This window comes from Homo sapiens, chromosome 7 (genome assembly GCF_000001405.40).
Source record: "Homo sapiens chromosome 7, GRCh38.p14 Primary Assembly".
In the NCBI taxonomy this organism is placed as follows: Eukaryota; Metazoa; Chordata; class Mammalia; order Primates; family Hominidae; genus Homo; species Homo sapiens.
In genome coordinates, this window is record NC_000007.14 from 86,324,586 (window position 1) to 86,346,921 (window position 22,336).

At 34.0% G+C, this 22,336-nt stretch overlaps 3 annotated features.

Moving 5' to 3' along the window:
* Positions 4,115 to 4,900: an enhancer, noted in NCBI's record as "OCT4-NANOG hESC enhancer chr7:85958016-85958801 (GRCh37/hg19 assembly coordinates)". NCBI's record gives its function as "activates a minimal SCP1, AML or CMV promoter by ChIP-STARR-seq in naive H9 embryonic stem cells {active_cell/tissue: H9 hESC(naive)}" and the evidence as "EXISTENCE:reporter gene assay evidence [ECO:0000049][PMID:30033119]".
* Positions 15,351 to 15,975: an enhancer, noted in NCBI's record as "OCT4-NANOG-H3K27ac-H3K4me1 hESC enhancer chr7:85969252-85969876 (GRCh37/hg19 assembly coordinates)". NCBI's record gives its function as "activates a minimal SCP1, AML or CMV promoter by ChIP-STARR-seq in primed H9 embryonic stem cells {active_cell/tissue: H9 hESC(primed)}" and the evidence as "EXISTENCE:reporter gene assay evidence [ECO:0000049][PMID:30033119]".
* Positions 15,976 to 16,600: an enhancer, noted in NCBI's record as "OCT4-NANOG-H3K27ac-H3K4me1 hESC enhancer chr7:85969877-85970501 (GRCh37/hg19 assembly coordinates)". NCBI's record gives its function as "activates a minimal SCP1, AML or CMV promoter by ChIP-STARR-seq in primed H9 embryonic stem cells {active_cell/tissue: H9 hESC(primed)}" and the evidence as "EXISTENCE:reporter gene assay evidence [ECO:0000049][PMID:30033119]".

The following is a 22,336-nucleotide window of genomic DNA, read 5'->3' on the forward strand; positions in this document are numbered from 1 at the left end:
GAAAGAGGCAAAAGTTAATTCTTTTTGAAAGCAAATCATCTCTAAAAGAAGATAATATCATCCAGAGCCTCGAATATATCAACAAGTTTTTATACACATTCAATTTTTCAAAAGGCATGAAAGAAGACAATAACCAACCAAGACAGAGTCTATCAAAATAAACTAAAGGAATTTATAGGCATTGGCTTAACAGATACAGGCTTAAAATTATATGTATAAGAAATGAAGTTACAAAATAATTAAAAGACAGAACTGATAATGTCAAAAATTACAGAATGAAATTTATGTTCTAGAGCTGTAATAAAATAAAAATAAATTAGGAATGTAATATATATTTAAAAGCAGATTAGACACTGTGGAAGAATGTGTTTTTGAACTAGAAACTAGTTCAAACAAATACAAACTGAAGCACAGAGAGACAGAAAATGAGAAATCCAGAAAAGAGCAAATAACATACAATTATGGGATAAAAGCACATGTACCCTAAAACTTAGAGTATAATAAAAAAAAAAAAAAAAAAAAAAAAAGCTTAATGCATGTGTAATTGGAAGACCAGAAACAGAAGAGAGATAATGAGGAAGAAGTGATATTTGAAGATATGATTTAGAATTTTCTAAATATAATGAAAAGCAGCAACACATGAATTTAAGAAGTTTTATAAATTCTAATCCTCATTAGAATTTAATAGGAAATAAAGTATACATAGGCACATTATAGAATACTGATGAAAATCAAAAACAAAGGGTAAACTCAAAAGCAACTCGAGAAAAGAGGTATTAAAAATGGAGGAATAAAACTGACTTCTCATTATAAACAATGGAGACTAGTAGACAATGGAATGATAATGCTTTGCCAAGTTCTAACTCTATACTCAGTGAAAATATCCTTCAAAAATAAAGCCAAAAATATTTTCAGATAATACAAAGTATATATTTTAGTTGCCATTAGCATATTTGCATTAAAGGCAATACTTAAAGGTGTTTGTTAGACAGAGGAAAAGTGATCCTAGATGGAAGCTTGAAAGTTCAGGAGAGAACATAGAGCAACAGAAAGGAGAAATAGTTGACTAAATTTAGAGGAATATAATTATATACAGAATGATAACAATCAATCTTGTGGAGTATATCAGTCAGTTCAGGCTGCCATAACAAAATACCATAAAATGGGTGGCTTAAACAACAGAAATTTATTTCTCACAATGTTGAAGGCTGGGAAGTCCAAGATCGAAGTGCTGGCAGATTCAGTTTCTGGTGAGGGCTCTCTTTGTGGGTCACAGATTGCCAGATTTTCACTAAATTCTCACATGGCCTTTTCTTAGTGTATAAACATGGAGAACGTAATCTCACTTTCTTCCTCTTCTTATAAAGCTAATAACCTAATCATAGGGGTCCAAACCCCATAAACTAATCTAATCTGGATTATTGCCCAATTGCCCCATCTTCAAAAACCATTTCATTGAAGGTTATGTCTTCAACATATGAATTTCAGGGGATCCAAACATTCAGTCCATAACATGGGCTTTAAAGCATATGTGAAATTAAATTACATGACAAGAATGTAAAAAAAAAAGGCAGAAGCAAAGTATAAATGCCATGGGTTATACCTTCTTTACATTATCCAGGAAATGCAAATGTATTAATTTATATGTCACATATGTTTCAATCTATAGACTAACCACTAACAAGTTAAAAGAGAAAGAAAATAAAATAGTTCATCAAAAAGATGGCAATGAAAGGCGAGAAAATGTAAATATATTTCATTTGCCCTATATACATGTGATAGGGCAAATTAAATATAAATAGTAAAATGATAGTTTCATTTTTAAACATGTCAGCACTCATAGTAAATATAAGCTGGCCATACCATTAATTTATTTAAAAATATTTATCAAGTGCTTGTTATGTAAGTTATTCTATAAGATGACTGCCTATTACAAATAGGTGTAAAAACCTCAGATACAACTATGCTACAGGCAATGCAATATATTTCTAATAATCCCCTGGGAAATCTTATTATGCACACAAACATATTTTTCTCTCCATTTCGGTCTAAATTATTCTTGACAGATTTACCAATAATATTTTAAATAATACAAATGACAGAGTTGTCTTATATAATCTGATGAAATGCCACCATCTTCACCTCAAATTTTGTCTTTTTATTTCCTTTCCTGCCTCCTCCTCAAAATGTCCTGAAGACATTATTCTCTTTCAAATTCATCCACACGTGTTCTGCCTCTCAACTCTGCTCTGTCAACAAGATATTTCCATCATATTTCTTCTTCCTCCACATTTTTAAGTTATTAAATATATTTGTGTGGAAAGGTAAATACCAATGTTCAAGACCCAGTTCAGACCAATTAAATCAAAATCTCTAGGGCTGGGGCTGAAGTGTTGGTATTTTTAAAGCTATCAGCTAAAAGGTGGCTTAAGGGAGCATTCTGTGATGTTGCAACTGTGTATTTTCAACTGGCTAAGGTTACATGGGTCAATGCTTTTGTAAATATTCACCAAGCTGTATACTCAAGGGGGCTATGCACTTTATATAAGTTATAGCTTAATAAAACTTTTTTAAAATCCAAGTCATCCCAATGTTTCTAATGCACAGCTATATATATATATATATATATATATATATTTTTTTTTTTTTTTTTTTTTTTGAGACGGAGTCTCGCTCTGTCGCCCAGGCCGGACTGCGGACTGCAGTGGCGGAATCTCGGCTCACTGCAAGCTCCGCCTCCCGGGTTCAAGCCATTCTCCTGCCTCAGCCTCCCGAGTAGCTGGGACTACAGGTGCCCGCCACCGCGCCCGGCTAATTTTTTGTATTTTTAGTAGAGACGGGGTTTCACCTTGTTAGCCAGGATGGTCTCGATCTCCTGACCTCATGATCCACCCGCCTCGGCCTCCCAAAGTGCTGGGACTACAGGCGTGAGCCACCGCGCCCGGCCCTGCACAGCTATATTTAAGAGCTATTAAAGTAAAAGGGAAAAAGAAAGGTTGACAAAAAGATTTGGGTGGTGAATATAAACAAGAAGGAAAAAAATATATAAAATTCATAGAATATGCTTTATCATATAGTATATAAATACTTGGGGAATTATTAAAATTAAATATGGATTTATGAAGAAAAAAGTGGTTAAGAAGAAATAAACATAGAATAGAAAACTAAGAATCAAAAATATAATTGATGTTCAATTATATCTTGGGTAGAGCTGACTGCTCTAGGATTAAGATGAGTTTAGTTTCCAATAAGTTTCAAGAATCATAAAATTACACAAATAAACATGCCTTGAAGATATTTTGAGAGTTAAGAGTGCCATTTGAATGCCACTAGTTGAGTTTAAAGATACAGATTTGAACATTTTCAAGGTTTACTTGGATAATTTCTCCCAAATCATTGATAGAGCAATAAATTTCCAGATGTTTAAGATTAAACCTTGAGTACAATCATAATCAATACCTGAGAAAAAAAAGAGGATTAAATTGAAAAGAATACAAGCAATATATATAAAGACAAAAGAGTATCTGTAAACTTAGACTCATGAAACTAAAGATAAAAATAGTTTTAGAGGCAGAAAGTAACTGCTTGTATCAAAGGATGTTGAGAGATCCAAAGTAAAAAAATTAGAAAAGATCAATAAATTGTTCCAGAAGGATGTCACATAAAAATAAGTAGTTCTGTAATCTGAAAATGGAAGAGATCAAATTGCAAAAGACTTTTAAGAGAATCATAAGAAAATGAATCAATTGTACATTAAGAAAATTGTTACTTAGATGTTATGTGTTTTAGGAAAGAAATAAAATTAATAAATATAGAAAATGATAATAACTGCAGAAAGAACTGAAGACCAACAGACTTGCAGAATGTTTAGAATTATATGTTAAACACATTTAACATCTAATATATAATATCACCCATAGTAATTGTTTAATATGTGTTAATGAATACTATGAATACTGGACATAATTAGAAAGCCCTTGTACATATATTTCTATTATTGTGTGGGTATTTGTTTTGAGCAGGAAGGAAGATGAGAATCCTTCAACAAATAGCAATGTCAAGATTGTATTATTATAGACACTTTTTTCAGGAAAATTTAAATTTAAGAGAGAACATTGGGCAAATTTGCTAATATTTTGCAAATAGAGCTTCACGTATTCTTATAAGCTTTCATTAGTAAGACTCAACTGGTCTTTTTTCATAGTCCAATTTCTATTTCCTTATTTGTAGTCAATTCTATACATAGGATCATATTACTGAAGCTTTGATAAACTGCCTTTGAAACTACTAGTCATGAAAGAATTGTAAGACTCAGTAACATTCAAGCAAAGAAAATTTCTAAGGTGGCACTGGGTCAAAGTTAAAGACTTTTCAATCTGTTGAGTGTTGACAATTAACATATAAATAACCCCTCCATTTCAAAAGCTACTGTGTGTGTGTGTGTGCGTATGTGTGTGTGTGTGTGTTCATTCCTCAGTTTGCCCTCAAGCATATATTCAAGTCAGTATGGAAATTTTTAAGAGTGTTCTTTGTCATTTCTTAACTGACACAGCTCATGCTAGCCTGGTTTATATTCTCAACTATGCATTGACACCAAAGACACTAAAGTGGAGTGATGCTAATTCCTGTTTTAAACAGTTAAATTCCAACTCAGTAGTGCACAATGGCTAACAAAGAAGGTCTTTGAGTATTGACATTCTAGATGGACAAACAGATGCAAATTAAGTGATTTACCAAGTATCTCACAGAATATTAACAAAGCAATAGTTATTATCATCTTCTATTCTTTAAATCCCATTGACTTCCACATGTCTTTATTAGTGTTCTTAAAACCCACAAAGGTATTTTTATATAGAACTTAAAAATACATAAAAGCATAAATAAGAACATCTGAAATTAATCTGATTCCCATTATTCAGATATCATTATAGCACTTACATTTTTTACATCTTTCTATGCATATGAAATCACTTTTCTTATCACACTGAATGTGCTTCAAATGCTAATGTATTGACTGAATAATTTTATAGGTTATGATGGGCCAAAATACATCCAATTCCTTATTTTACAATTTCCAAATTTTACTCCCATAAACGGCCTTGGAAAGAACTTCCATTTGCAAAAAAAAAAAAAAGAATGTAGTATCCTTAATTAATTTTAGTAAAATCTTCTAGAACTGGGATTATCAGGTTAGTGAATGAGAGTACTAGCAGTGGTCGTGGTACAAATCACTCTTCAGAAATGTCACGTTGTTTTTCTTTTCTACCGGAATACAGAAAGGCCCATTTCACTGTGCCTTTCTGTAATTGGAATGCTTTACTTAAAATAACATGTGCTTTAATTAGCAATAATACAAATATACTAATATCTTAACATCTTTCATTAAGGAAAAATGTTTCCAATATGTATTGACTACCTGGTTTCTTCTTCTTTTTTTTTTTAATCTATTTTCAAAATAATTTTATTGTGGTAGAAAACTCATAACTTTAAACTTACCAACTTCTTTTGTGATTATCTGGACTGGACATGTCTACCAACAGGTAATATAGCAATCTTAATTTTCCAAGTTTGGTTGTTTTTTAAAAATTGGATGCTTATTTAATTTTATTATGATTATTTTTAATTGTTATGGATACATAAAAGGTGTATATATTTATGTTGTTATTTATCTGAATAGTGAGATTTAGGGAGACTATATCTGAAGATGCTAGAAAACATTGGTTTTAAAATGGTAACTCTAGTAGATAAGCAGCAGAATGAGCAATTTAATGGGAAAATAGAAATAAATTTTCAAGATATAAACATTTTTATTTTCATTTTACTTTTTAGTTTTTTATTTCAAATCAGCTAATGATGTTTTGATATCTTGGGAATGTTAAAACTGTAATATCTGACTAAAAGAGATATATGTAAATATAAGACATGATTATCAAATTTATTCATCTTTTATTGTTTCTAAATTTTGGGGGCTTACTTAGGCTTTCTAACTTCCACTTATGATAATAATGTTTTTTAGTACTTGCATGGTTTATTTTTAAACATTTATATCCTTGATTCATTTGGTGTTTCAGTGAAAGGATGACATATAGGTTCAGTTTTACCTTTCGAAATAAATGACTATCGGATGACTTTAAAACATTAATAATTTAAAAAAACCTACTTGCACTAGTGATTTAATTTATCATATACTGTACTATACTTTCCTAGGTACTTGTGTCCATTTTATGCTTTCTTTTTGGTACCATTGATCTTTCTGATTATTCATATGTAAGGACCATATTGTTTTTATGAGAAGATTTTTATTTTATTTTACATTCTAGGAAGGCCAATTCTCCTTTGCCTGTGTTGCTGATCTTCATTTTTAGGGTTTCTTCATCTAGTCATGATTGTTATTTTTTTTCATTTGATTTTCATATGAACTTGTTTAAATTCAGCGAAATTCTCTTATAATTTTCTAATACCATATTACATTTATATTTTATCTTATGCGGTTGATACCTTTATGATGTTTGATTGTTTTGGCAAAATAATGGGACTTTGTCTTTTACTGAAGTATTTGAAACTGTTTTTTCTATAGGTTTTACACATTTTATTTTAGGTATTATCTTTTTCTATTTTCTTAAAAAGGTATTTTTGTGATTATTGTTTGAATATGTGAAGGGATTTGAATTTCTTATTTTTTATACATTAATACCTTATTGAAATGTTTGTATCAGTTTTTACTCTTTGTGGTAGTTTTATTAAAAATTTCTCTTAAATGTTCTGGACATGCTACTAAATGTTGCCCTCTTTTCTAATTCTTATTTTTCAAATTGATTTTTTATTTTCCTATTGCTTTGGATAATAACTATAATTCAAGGCTAAACATCAGTTTAGACAATAGGATAGAAAGATTATCTTGATTGTAGTGGATAGAGCTCTATTCTTTCTAATGTGTCAGATATTGGCTTTGCAATTGAAGTACATAGATTTTTATCAAGCTTAGAAAGTCACAATATTTTATTTTATTAGTGCTTTATGTAACAAATGGTTACTTTACTTTTTGAAACTTTAAAAATGTATATAATTGTAATCACATTAATGGATATACTGTATTGATATGGTTTGGCTGTGTCCCCAACCAAATCTTATCTTGAATTATAGTTCCCGTAATCCCCACATGTCATGGGAGGGACCCAGTGAGGATGATTTATTCATGGGAGTGGTTACTCTCTATGATGTTCTTGTGATAGTGAATTCTCAGGAGATCTAACAGTTTTATAAGGAGAAAGCCTTTTTCCCCCTTTTGCTTGGCACTTCTCCTTGCTGCTGCCATGTGAAGAAGGACATGTTTGCTTCCTCTTCCACAATGATTGTAAGTTTTCTGAGGCCTCCCCAGTCATGCTGAACCGTGAGTCAATTAAACTACTTTCCTTTATAAATTACCCTGTCTTGGGTATGTCTTGATTACTAGCATGAGAACTAACTAATACATGTATTGAATCTTCTTTGGATTTCTGGAATAAAGCCTGCCTAATCATGCTGTAGTTTTTAGTGTGCTTTTAAATATTTCTAATAATATTTTATTCATTAATAAGTAGGAATGGTCTGAACTTTTCTTATAAAATTTTGACCGGGTATGACAATATCTGCATTTATAAAAAGCATTTGAAGTTTTCCTTTCTAATCTCTGTAGCAATTTAGGTGGCATTAAAATGACCACTTTTTGAATGTTTATTAGAATTTTCCAGTAAAACTCTGCCTGGTTCTTTGTGGAAAGTAGCTCATTGAAATATATATATATATATATATATATATATATATATATATATATATATATATATATATGTGTGTGTGTGTGTGTGTGTGTGTGTGTGTGTGTGTGTGTGTGTGTGTGTGTGTATATATATATATTCCATTCATTGAATTCCAGATAGATAGATAGATAGATAGATAGATAGATAGATAGATTTGATGTATTTTTGCTCATAGAAGCAGAAAAATAATGTATTTTTGAAACGGAAGATTGTCATTCTAGCACTGACTCAGAAATCTACACTTTATTTTAAATATTCCTTTCTAAACTTGTTACCCTAGATAGCATTCACTCTATCAGGGAAAAAATAATCTGTTTTTTAAATTCATTTTTAGTGTGATTTTGAGTTATTCCCTTCACTGAATTCCTGATTATTTTCATAAATATAGGCAAATATCACAATGTTTCTTTCCTCCTTAATGCTTCAAAGGCCTAAAGTTCACTTATGAACCTCAGGAACTAAGTCACAGTTCTCAGCTTCAGGTACATCCACATCCAAATCCAGCCTCAAGTACAGCACATGTTGAAGGTAATACATTTACCTTCTCTTGGTTTGATCTTTTTATTTCATGTATTTTTCTAGTTAGTATCTTGGCATTTAGCACATTCACTACAAAGGTGAAGGAGATACAGGGTTATAACAATTGGCATATAGCAAATTTTCAAAACTATTAGAGACATCTAAAGAAAGAAAAAAATGGAGCAGTCACTTATTGGAAGGAAAGTAGAAGAGTGTATCTGCTTATATGAATTCTATAGTAACATATGCCACAATAAACAACATTCAGCACAATTAGATAATTCCATAAAAAGCTAAGCTAAATTTATTTTCCCGCTATCAAATCTCCATACTTCTCAGATGTGATCCATTATCCAGGAGATAATTAGAAGGCATTTTTCATTCTTATACTCAGACATTAGGTGATGATGAATGGAAGTATTATTTTGTTGACAGCTTTTAGAACTTTAAAACAAAGAGTGAAAAACGGATACTCAGATATTTTAAATGTCAGTTATTTTATTTTCTTCTGCTTCTGATATCTTAAAGAAGTGATAAATAATTCCCAATCTGGAAGCTGTTATTTATTTTTGTCTATTAATTAATTAAAAAAAAACTTGGTGATAGAATTACCACATTGGTGTTCATGTATTTGAATGTTGATATTTTAACTTAAAAAAAAACTTTTCATGTTAGAAACTTCCTTTCCTTCCGCACCTTCCCTGCAAAAAACCACAAATGTAATGTGCCCACGATTTTATAAGGCCCTGATATATTTATACAAAACAACCAAAAGTTTTCTATGCACTTTCCATTTGCTCAAGGCATACTTCTGATTGACACATACGACTTGTTCAAAGCAAAAATCCTTTGTGCTTTCTGAGTCAAAGTCAAAAAGGTATCTCGAAATCAGAGAAGGTGATTGTTTTCAAATTTATGAGTAATGCTTAATACCTTACTATATTATAAAATCCAACATTCATTTAAATAATTTGTATAGTATTAATTGTAATGTGGATACAGAGAAACTGGTCTGTTCCTTAATTCTTGATATAAGGGAAGGATATCATAAGCCTGTGCAGTTAAAATTGTTATTTTCTACGAGGGTTTCCAAATTTCTTACTCATGATTCAAGAATCAGACTGCAGAACAAAAGTAGTGCTGTTTGAGGCCAAAATATTTTCTTCTTTCCCCTTCCTTGTTTTTTTTTTCTTGAAGTTTTCAATTAATTCAGGAAATATTTAATAATCATGTTATGCTTCGCTTGGAAGTATGATGTTTTTGTCTATATCACTTGTGATGCATTCAAATTGTTGTGGATTTAATGACTATGAAATAGTAAATTCTGGTTTAATTTCATTTTACTGCTTAACAAGGTAGCGTATTACGAATAATAAAATGCTTCCAGGTGCAGTGAGTTGAGCTCTCTTCATGTTTATTCTTACAAGCGTAAGTGAACACAAACATTAAGGAATAATTTTAAAATATATCAAGAGTGCTCAAAAACTTTATAAACTTTGAGTTATTCTTACAATAGAACTTTAGCTTAAGTAAGTAGAAACTCATATAATGATTTAAGTATTAGAATTTCCTACAACAATATTTAGATTAAAATTGTTAATAAAATACATGTCCAGTAATAATGGATTGGCTAAGTTAATACTATCTGTCTGAATTTATATTTATATATTCAGTAAAGATCAGCTTAAGTACCATTTCCATTTGAGAGTCTCAGCTTTAAATGTAAAAGCTTGACAAACTCAAACTAATGCCCCAACTAAATGTGTCACTCCAAACCTGATAACAAAGCCCCAGCCACATTGACATTGTTTATGTTCTTTGAACATGCCAAACTTATTAATACCTAGAGCCTTGGCACTCCAGTCACTATTATATTTTCTATTTCCTTATTTTTATTAATGTTATCACTACTTTGAAATGATTCATTTGATTTCTTTCTCTTAATTATCATCTCCTTCTACTGAAATATAAACTATGAGCATTAGGGTATGGCTTACTTTCTTCAAAAAAAAAAAGCATAAGCACATTTCTTGGTATATTTTAGGCACTCAAAAATGTTTGATGAAATAACTAATGAATAAGTAAATTAATACCAAGATATTTAGGGACCATTAAAGCACTTGTAGTAAGTTTCAGGAAAATGATGCATACTGAGCAAAGTGTAGTTATTATATACTAGGCAGAGGGAGAATGAAAAATATATTAATCTGTTAAGAATGATAACCCAAAGAAGTATCAAAGATAATATCGTGTTCTCTATATCATTCCTTGTTTGCTAAATTATTCTGTAAAATGGCTAGTGTTACTTTTCTAATCAGAAAACTAAACACAGCATTTAAAGCTACCATAATATGATGGGAAAATTTGATTAATTAGAAACATTTTTCTTTTTAAATCACTAATGCCTACATGACCCTTGAATATATTACTAGAGCACTTAAAAAATTAACAGAAAAATAACATTTACATAACATAGAAACAAAGATGTGTACATTTTCTTAAAGGAAGTATCTCTTGATAAAAAATTATAAAGACGATCAAATGTTTGTAACCAATAAAAGATATTCAAAATAGGCTGCAGTCAATGCCCAAGAATGTCTATAAACAAAAAAGTTGATGATTTAAAAAACTATTTGTAAGACAGACTTATTATATCATTTTATAAATAAGAAAAAAATACAATGAAAAGACTAAAACATCTTTAAAAAGGATCTTCATTATAAAATATCAACCATCATCATAACTATTATGACATTATGCATCTAATATCCTTGTAAAATGAAATGGCAATTGAGTGTAATTTTCTTGACATGATTAGTTGTGAAATACCATAAGTGAATCACAGATCTAAAAATAAATCCCAATTATCTTTGCTTCTCCTCCAGAGTGCTAGCCACTTAAATATTTCTCATTTTTCAAATTTATATTGAAAATACTATTCTAATAAACATTAAAATTTCCCAAACAATTCTTGCCTAAAATTTACCAGTAGTATTTTTAATGACTTGTGTATATAAACAATGGGTTTCCTAAGTGTTATCACTACAAATTCATTTCAATTATGTTATTCAGCACATCTAATATTACATAGACCATACAATTATGGGCTTATCAAATGATTAATCCGAGTGTAATTTTCAGAACAAAATAATGAGTACACTCTACTTCTGCTTAGAAATATAATTGCACTGTTACTGTGCTCAACTTAGTATCATTAGAGAGAATACACAATAAGCTAAATTAGTAATGACATTACTTTGCTGGCTGAATTTTTTCTTATAAAATTATTTGACACACGAGAGGAATTTATAACTTACATATTTAAATAATAATATTTAATCTTCTGAAAATGACTGGGTTATTTTTATACCACTTTGACATAACTAAAGGCAAAAAAATGAGAAAAGTGATATTAATTTAATTATTTAATGTCATAAAGTGTCAAAGTCACTTTTCATAAAAAATAAAATCTCCAAAATTTTTAAGAAATTAAAGAAATGCATGGTTTCTAAGGCAGACATTAGTTATTCATATTTCAGGATCTTGATCCTACTTGTTTAATATTTCCATTGAAATCCCCTCTCTTGTCTGCAGCCGATCTGGGCACAATGGTTTTGGCATCCATCAATTGGAAAGTTTGCTCAACTTTAATTTTTTAGTCATAATTGTGTAAGCTGAAACAATTGAGATGTCAATGATGTTGGCTATTGTTTGTGCTGTTGTCGGTCCTCTTCAATTAGAGCATGAACAAGATTAATTTTTTCCTCACAAATCAATGTAGACGGTCCGTCCCTCTGTGGTTCATCTTCAACATTGTGTCATTCCTTCTTAAAACAAGTTATCCATCTGTAAAGTGCTGATTTCTTTGAGGAAATTTTCCCCATACACTTTTTGGAAAGCATAAGTAATTTTATCATTCTTCCATCCAAACTTCAACATAAATTTTATGTTTGTTTTGGCTTCAATTTTAGCAAAATCCATGTTGCTTTGATAGGGGCTGTTTTCAAACAGATGTCTTTAGTGTGCCAAACTAGATTCTATTCAGACATGTTATACAAATTAGTATGAGTTTAATTTGGTACAAAACAATTTATCTATGCATAGTTTTTTTAATAATATATATTTTCTATAAACTTTCTGAAGACCCCAACACTTCTCTAACTCCTTTTTCAATTCGTATATAGTTTTCAAATTTATTTTCTATATATGTTATAAATATCACATTGTGTCCTTTTCTGTTTGTTTAATTATTTGGGAATATTTAAGTTTTAAATGATATGAAAAAATGTTATATATTTGCTAATGTACTTAGCATGTCTTGTACTCTTCATTTCTTTGTGTTGGCCCATATTTACATTGGGTAATATTTTTCTTCTGTCTGAGGAAATTTCTTCAACTGTTTTTCATCATAGGTGTTCCAGTAATTATATTCTTGAGTTTTATATATCTGAAAAAAGTATCTATTTCATCTTTCACTTTGTAAGACCTTTTCTTTGGGTGTAGAATTCTAGTATTAGAATTCTTTGTTCTCCAGTACTCTAAAGTTTTTCTCAGTTATCTCTGATCTTGCTTTGAATCTGATGAAAAGTTTTCTGTCATATATTTTTGTTTCTCTATAGATAATCTATCTTTTTTTTTTCCAAGCACACCTTTAAGATTTTATCTTTATAACTGATATTTATTCATGTAATTATGTTTCTTGGCAGAGTTTCTTTTTTCCCATATTTTTAGGTCTTGCTGTATCTTGAATGCTTCAAGGGCACTACTCTGCCCTTGAAACTTTGGGTTTACAGTGTTTATCAAATTGTAAAATTGTTGTATAATTATTTCTCCAAATAATTTTCTGCCACTCCCTCTTTCAGGGACTCCAATTATACATAAAAATAGACTTCTTGAATTTGTATCACAGCTAACTGATCTGTTCTCTTTCTCTCTCTCTTTTCTCACTCTCTTTGCTCTCAATGTTTTATTTTCAACAGTTCCTATTGTTACATATTCAATTTCATGAATCATTTTTTCTGGGGTGTCTAATTGGCAATTTGTCATTAATTTTATGCCAGACATTATTTTTACTTCAGAAAGTTCAACTTGGTTCTTTTTCATATCTTACGTGTCTCTCCTTAAAAAGTTCAACCTTTCCTTTAGCTTTCAGAATATATGAACTACAGTTATAAAAACTGTTTCTGATTCCCTTATCCGTTAATTTTATCATCTGCACCACTCCTAGGACAGGTGTGATTGATTTTTTTCTTCATTCTGGGTGTATTTTTTTTTTTGCTTCTGTGTATGCCTAGTTATATTTCATTAAATGAAAGCTATTCTAAACTTTACTTTGTCAGGTGCTAGATAATTTTCTATCCATATAAAATATTCTTAAGATTTGTGCTATGACATATTTAAGTTACTTAAAAACAATGTTTTTTTTTTTTTAGTATGATTTTTAGGATCTGTTAGTCATTACTAGAATAATGTTTAAAGCTAATTATTTCAACCATTAAAGCAAGGCCTTTCGGGGTTCTCTGCATAATGGTTTGTAATGTGTGAGATCTTCTACTTTCACTGGTGGAAACAGGCAATAGTCCAGGCTTTGTGCTACAAGCTATGCCTGTGAAAACTGAAATGTTCCTCTTGTATTTTTAGGTGGTTCTTTTCCCAGCCTTGGGTAATTTTCTCACACACACATACTGGTCAGTTATCTGCTAGTTGTTCTGGAAGGACCTTCTATAGATATCAGAATTTTTCTTTTCTCCGCTACTCTGCCCTGCAAACCCTACCTACCATTGTCCCTCTAGACTCTTAGCTGTATTTCCTCAACTCAGGGAGTTCACCCTTTCTGCTGAAGTTATTGCTCTTTGCGTTAAGGCCTAGAAAGTCTTATAGCAGTAAGTCGAGCAATTGTAGAGCTTGCTTAGTTTATTTTCCATCTTTCAGGGACTCTATTCTTTCATTGTATAATTTCAAATTTATTGAAAGCCTTGGTTCTTTTGCTTAGGATTTTCTTGGCTATTTGGGCTCTTGTTTGGTTCCATGTGAATTTTAAAATAGTTTTTTTCTAGTTTTGTGAAGAATGTCATTGACAGTTTGATAGGAATAGCATTGAATCTGTAAACTGCTTTAGGCAGAATGGCCATTTTAACAATATTGCTTCTTCCTATCCATGAGCATGGAATATATTTCCATTTATTTGTGCTATCTCTGATTTCTTAGTGTTTTTGTAGTTTTCATTGTAGAGTTGTTTCACCTCCCTGGTTAGCTATATTCGTTGGTATTTCATTTTTTCTTGTGGCAATTGTGAATGAGGTTGCATTCCTAATTTGGCTCTTGACTTGTCTGTTGTTGTTTAGGAATGCTAGAGATTCCTGTGGGTTGCTTTTGTATCCTGAAACTTTGAGGCAGTTGTTTACCAGCTTAAGGAGCTTTTTAGGCTGCAACTATGGGGTTTTCTAGATACAGAATCAAGTTACTTGCAAAAAGTGAAAGTTTGATTTCCTCTCTTTCTATTTGCATGCGCTTTATTTCCTTCTCGTCAGATTGCTCTGGCAAGGCATCCAATACTATGTTGAAAAGAAGTGGTGAGAGAACATATCCTTGTCTTATGCCAGTTTTCAAAGGGAATGCTTCCAGTTATTGCCCACTCATTATGATATTTGTTATAGGTTTGTCATATATGACCCATTATTTTGAGCAAAAAGAACAAAGCAGGAAGCATTATGCTACCCAACTTCAAACTATACTACAGGGATACAGTAACCAAAAGAGCATAGTACTGGTTCAAAAACTGACACACAGATCAACGGAACAGAATAGAGAGCCCACAAATAAGGCTACACACCTGTAACCATCTGATCTTTGACAAAGCTGCAAAAGCACTGGGGAAAGGAATTACCCTCTTCAATAAATGGTGCTTGGATAACTGGCTAGTCATTTGCAGAGGACTGAAACTAGACCCCCTTTTTATTCTATATACGAAAGTTAACTCAAGATTTTTGGATTAAAGACTTAAATGTAAAATCCAAAACTATAAAAACTCTGAAAGACAATCTAGGCAATATGATTCTAGACATAGGCCCTGTCAAAGATTTCATGATGAAGATGTCAAAGGCAATTACAACAAAAGCAAAAATTGGTAAATGAGATCTAATTAAACTAAGGAGCTTCTGCATAGCAAAAAAAAAAAAAAAAAAAAAAAAACTATCAAAAGAATGAACAGACAATCTATAGAATGGGAGAACATTTTTGCAAACTATGCATCTGTCAGAGGTCTAGTATCCAGCATCTATAAGGAACATTAAAAAAAACTATAAACAAGGAGGAGCCAAGATGGCCGAATAGGAACAGCTCCAGTGTACAGCTCCCAGCGTGAGCGACGCAGAAGACGGGTGATTTCTGCATTTCCATCTGAGGTACCGGGTTCATCTCACTACGGAGTGCCAGACAGTGGGCGCAGGTCAGTGGGTGCATGCACCGTGTGCGAGCCGAAGCAGGGCGAGGCATTGCCTCACTTGGGAAGCACAAGGGGTCAGGGAGTTCCCTTTCCTAGTCAAAGAAAGGGGTGAAGGACGGCACCTGGAAAATCGGGTCACTCCCACCCGAATACTGCGCTTTTCCGATGGGCTTAAAAAACGGCACACCAGGAGATTGTGTCCCGCACCTGGCTTGGAGGGTCCTACACCCACGGAGTCTCGCTGATTGCTAGCACAGCAGTCTGAGATCAAACTGCAAGGCGGCAGCGAGGCTGGGGGAGGGGCGCCCACCATTGGCCAGGCTTGCTTAGGTAAACAAAGCAGCCGGGAAGCTCGAACTGGGTGGAGCCCACCACAGCTCAAGGAGGCCTGCCTGCCTCTGTAGGCTCCACCTCTGGGGGCAGGGCACAGACTAAAAAAAAGACAGCAGTAACCTCTGCAGACTTAAATGTCCCTGTCTGACAGCTTTGAAGAGAGCAGTGGTTCCCCCAGCACGCAGCTGGAGATCTGAGAACAGGCAGACTGCCTCCTCAAGTGGGTCCCTGACCCCTCACCCCCGAGCAGCCTAACTGGGAGGCACCCCCCAGCAGGGGCACACTGACACCTCACAAGGCAGGGTATTCCAACAGACCTGCAGCTGAGGGTCCTCTCTGTTAGAAGTAAAACTAACAAACAGAAAGGACACCCACACCAAAAACCCATCTGTACATCACCATCATCAAAGACCAAAAGTAGATAAAACCACAAAGATGGGGAAAAAACAGAACAGAAAAACTGGAAACTCTAAAAAGCAGAGCACCTCTCCTCCTCCAAAGGAACGCAGTTCCTCACCAGGAACCGAACAAAGCTGGATGGAGAATGACTTTGATGAGCTGAGAGAAGAAGGCTTCAGATGATCAAATTACTCTGAGCTACGGGGGGACATTCAAACCAAAGGCAAAGAAGTTGAAAACTTTGAAAAAAATTTAGAAGAATGTATAACTAGAATAACCAATACAGAGAAGTGCTTAAAGGAGCTGATGGAGCTGAAAACCAAGGCTCGAAAACTACGTGAAGAATGCAGAAGCCTCAGGAGCCGATGTGATCAACTGGAAGAAAGAGTATCAGCAATGGAAGATGAAATGAATGAAATGAAGCGAGAAGGGAAGTTTAGAGAAAAAAGAATAAAAAGAAATGAGCAAAGCCTCCAAGAAATATGGGACTATGTGAAAACACCTAATCTACGTCTGATTGGTGTACCTGAAAGTGATGGGGAGAATGGAACCAAGTTGGAAAACACTCTGCAGGATATTATCCAGGAGAACTTCCCCAATCTAGCAAGGCAGGCCAATGTTCAGATTCAGGAAATACAGAGAATGCCACAAAGATACTCCTCGAGAATAGCAACTCCAAGACACATAATTGTCAGATTCACCAAAGTTGAAATGAAGGAAAAAATGTTAAGGGCAGCCAGAGAGAAAGGTCGGGTTACCCACAAAGGGAAGCCCATCAGACTAACAGCAGATCTCTCGGCAGAAACCCTACAAGCCAGAAGAGAGTGGGGGCCAATATTCAACATTCTTAAAGAAAAGAATTTTCAACCCAGAATTTCATTTCCACCCAAACTAAGCTTCATAAGTGAAGGAGAAATAAAATCCTTTACAGACAAGCAAATGCTGAGAGATTTTGTCACCACCAGGCCTGCCTTACAAGAGCTCCTGAAGGAAGCGCTAAACATGGAAAGGAACAACCGGGACCAGCCGCTGCAAAATCATGCCAAAATGTAAAGACCATCGAGACTAGGAAGAAACTGCATCAACTAACGAGCAAAATAACCAGATAACATCATCATGACAGGATCAAATTCACACATAAGAATATTAACTTTAAATGCAAATGGACTAAATGCTCCAATTAAAAGACACAGACTGGAAAATTGGATAAAGAGTCAAGACCCATCAGTGTGCTGTATTCAGGAAAACCATCTCACGGGCAAAGACACACATAGGCTCAAAATAAAAGGATGGAGGAAGATCTACCAAGCAAATGGACAACAAAAAAAGGCAGGGGTTGCAATCCTAGTCTCTGATAAAACAGACTTTAAACCAACAAAGATCAAAAGAGACAAAGAAGGCCATTACATAATGGTAAAGGGATCAATTCAACAAGAAGAGCTAACTATCCTAAATATATATGCACCCAATACAGGAGCACCAAGATTCATAAAGCAAGTCCTTAGAGACCTACAAAGAGACTTAGACTCCCACACATTAATAATGGGAGACTTTAACACCCCACTGTCAACATTAGACAGATCAACGAGACAGAAAGTCAACAAGGATACCCAGGAATTGAACTCAGCTCTGCACCAAGCGGACCTAATAGACATCTACAGAACTCTCCACCCCAAATCAACAGAATATACATTCTTTTCAGCACCACACCACACCTATTCCAAAACTGACCACATAGTTGGAAATAAAGCTCTCCTCAGCAAATGTAAAAGAACAGAAATTATAACAAACTATCTCTCCGACCACAGTGCAATCAAACTAGAACTCAGGATTAAGAACCTCACTCAAAACCGCTCAACTACATGGAAACTGAACAACCTGCTCCTGAATGACTACTGGGTACATAACGAAATGAAGGCAGAAATAAAGATGTTCTTTGAAACCAACGAGAACAAAGACCCAACATACCAGAATCTCTGGGACACATTCAAAGCAGTGTGTAGAGGGAAATTTATAGCACTAAATGGCCACAAGAGAAAGCAGGAAAGATCCAAAATTGACACCCTAACATCACAATTAAAACAACTAGAAAAGCAAGAGCAAACACATTCAAAAGCTAGCAGAAGGCAAGAAATAACTAAAATCAGAGCAGAACTGAAGGAAATAGAGACACAAAAAGCCCTTCAAAAAATTAATGAATCCAGGAGCTGGTTTTTTGAAAGGATCAACAAAATTGATAGACCACTAGCAAGACTAATAAAGAAAAAAAGAGAGAAGAATCAAATAGATGCAATAAAAAATGATAAAGGGGATATCACCACCGATCCCACAGAAATACAAGCTACCATCAGAGAATACTACAAACACCTCTACGCAAATAAACTAGAAAATCTAGAAGAAATGGATAAATTCCTCGACACATACACTCTCCCAAGACTAAACCAGGAAGAAGTTGAATCTCTGAATAGACCAATAACAGGACCTGAAATTGTGGCAATAATCAATAGCTTACCAACCAAAAAGAGTCCAGGACCAGATGGATTCACAGCCGAATTCTACCAGAGGTACAAGGAGGAACTGGTACCATTCCTTCTGAAACTATTCCAATCAATAGAAAAAGAGGGAATCCTCCCTAACTCATTTTATGAGGCCAGCATCATTCTGATACCAAAGCCAGGCAGAGACACAACAAAAAAAGAGAATTTTAGACCAATATCCTTCATGAACATTGATGCAAAAATCCTCAATAAAATACTGGCAAACCGAATCCAGCAGCACATCAAAAAGCTTATCCACCATGATCAAGTGGGCTTCATCCCTGGGATGCAAGGCTGGTTCAATATACGCAAATCAATAAATGTAATCCAGCATATAAACAGAGCCAAAGACAAAAACCACATGATTATCTCAATAGATGCAGAAAAGGCCTTTGACAAAATTCAACAACGCTTTATGCTAAAAACTCTCAGTAAATTAGGTACTGATGGGACGTATTTCAAAATAATAAGAGCTATCTATGACAAACCCACAGCCAATATCATACTGAATGGGCAAAAACTGGAAGCATTCCCTTTGAAAAGTGCCACAAGACAGGGATGCCCTCTCTCACCACTCCTGTTCAACATAGTGTTGGAAGTTCTGGCCAGGGCAATTAGGCAGGAGAAGGAAATAAAGGGTATTCAATTAGGAAAAGAGGAAGTCAAATTGTCCCTGTTTGCAGACGACATGATTGTATATCTAGAAAACCCCATTGTCTCAGCCCAAAATCTCCTTAAGCTGATAAGCAACTTCAGCAAAGTCTCAGGATACAAAATCAATGTACAAAAATCACAAGCATTCTTATACACCAACAACAGACAAACAGAGAGCCAAATCATGAGTGAACTCCCATTCACAATTGCTTCAAAGAGAATAAAATACCTAGGAATCCAACTTACAAGGGATATGAAGGACCTCTTCAAGGAGAACTACAAACCACTGCTCAAGGAAATAAAAGAGGATATAAACAAATGGAAGAACATTCCATGCTCATGGGTAGGAAGAATCAATATCGTGAAAATGGCCATACTGCCCAAGGCAATTTACAGATTCAATGCCATCCCCATCAAGCTACCAATGACTTTCTTCACAGAATTGGAAAAAACTACTTTAAAGTTCATATGGAACCAAAAAAGAGCCTGCATTGCCGAGTCAATCCTAAGCCAAAAGAACAAAGCTGGAGGCATCACACTACCTGACTTCAAACTATACTACAAGGCTACAGTAACCAAAACAGCATGGTACTGGTACCAAAACAGAGATATAGATCAATGGAACAGAACAGAGCCCTCAGAAATAACGTCGCATATCTACAACTATCTGATCTTTGACAAACCTGAGAAAAACAAGCAATGGGGAAAGGATTCCCTATTTAATAAATGGTGTTGGGAAAACTGGCTAGCCATATGTAGAAAGCTGAAACTGGATCCCTTCCTTAAACCTTACACAAAAATCAATTCAAGATGGATTAAAGACTTAAACGTTCGACCTAAAACCATAAAAACCCTAGAAGAAAACCTAGGCATTACCATTCAGGACATAGGCATGGGCAAGGACTTCATGTCTAAAACACCAAAAGCAATGGCAACAAAAGCCAAAATTGACAAATGGGATCTAATTAAACTAAAGAGCTCCTGCACAGAAGAAGAAACTACCATCAGAGTGAACAGGCAACCTACAAAATGGGAGAAAATTTTCGCAACCTACTCATCTGACAAAGGGCTAATATCCAGAATCTACAATGAACTCAAACAAATTTACAAGAAAAAAACAAACAACCCCATCAAAAAGTGGGTGAAGGACATGAACAGACACTTCTCAAAAGAACACATTTATGCAGCCAAAACACACATGAAAAAATGCTCACCATCACTGGCCATCAGAGAAATGCAAATCAAAACCACAATGACATACCATCTCACACCAGTTAGAATGGCAATCATTAAAAAGTCAGGAAACAACAGGTGCTGGAGAGGATGTGGAGAAATAGGAACACTTTTCCACTGTTGGTGGGACTGTAAACTCGTTAAACCATTGTGGAAGTCAGTGTGGTGATTCCTCAGGGATCTAGAACTAGAAATACCATTTGGCCCAGCCATCCCATTACTGGGTATATACCCAAAGGACTATAAATCATGCTGCTATAAAGACACATGCACACGTATGTTTATTGCGGCATTATTCACAATAGCAAAGACTTGGAACCAACCCAAATGTCCAACAATGATAGACTGGATTAAGAAAATGTGGACATATACACCATGGAATACTATGCAGCCACAAAAAACGATGAGTTCATGTCCTTTGTAGGGACATGGATGAAATTGGAAATCATCATTCTCAGTAAACTATCGCAAGAACAAAAAACCAAACACTGCATATTCTCACTCATAGGTGGGAATTGAACAATAAGATCACATGGACACAGGACGGGGAATATCACACTCTGGGGACTGTTGTGGGGTGGGGGGGAGGGGGAGGTACAGCATCGGGAGATATACCTAATGCTAGATGACCAGTTAGTGGGTGCAGTGCACCAGCATGGCACATGTATACGTATGTAACTAACCTGCACAATGTGCACATATACCCTAAAACTTGAAGTATAATAAAAAAAAACTATAAACAAGTCAACTAACAATCCCATTAAAAAGTGGACAAAGGACATGAACAGATAGTTTTCAAAAGAAGAAATATGTGTGAGTAATAAGCATATGAAAAAATGCTCAATATAACTGAACATTAGAGAAATGTAAATCAAAACCATAATGAGATATCAACTCATACCAGTCAGAATGACTATTATTAAAAACCCAAAAAACAAACAGATGTTGGCAAGGTTGCAGAAAAAAGAGAACACTTACAAACTGTTGTTGGGAGTGTAAATTAGCTTAACCATTGTGGATAGCTGTGTGGTGATTCTTCAAAGAGCTTATAACAGAACTGCCAGTTGACCCAGCCACCCCATTACTGGGTATATACCCAAAGGACTATGAATCATTCTATCGTAAGTACACATGCACACATATGTTTCTTGCAGCACTATTAACAATAGCATAGACATAGGATCACTTAAATACCCATCAATGGAACAATGGATAAAGAAAATGTGGTACATATACACCATGGAGTACTGTGTACCCATAAAAACAATGAGACTATGTCCTTTGCAGGCACATAGATGGAGATAGAGGTCATTATCTTTAGCAAACTAACACAGGAACAGGATACCAAATACCGCATCTTCTCACTTATAAGAGGGAGCTAAATGATGAGAACACATGGATACAAAAAAGGGAACAACAGA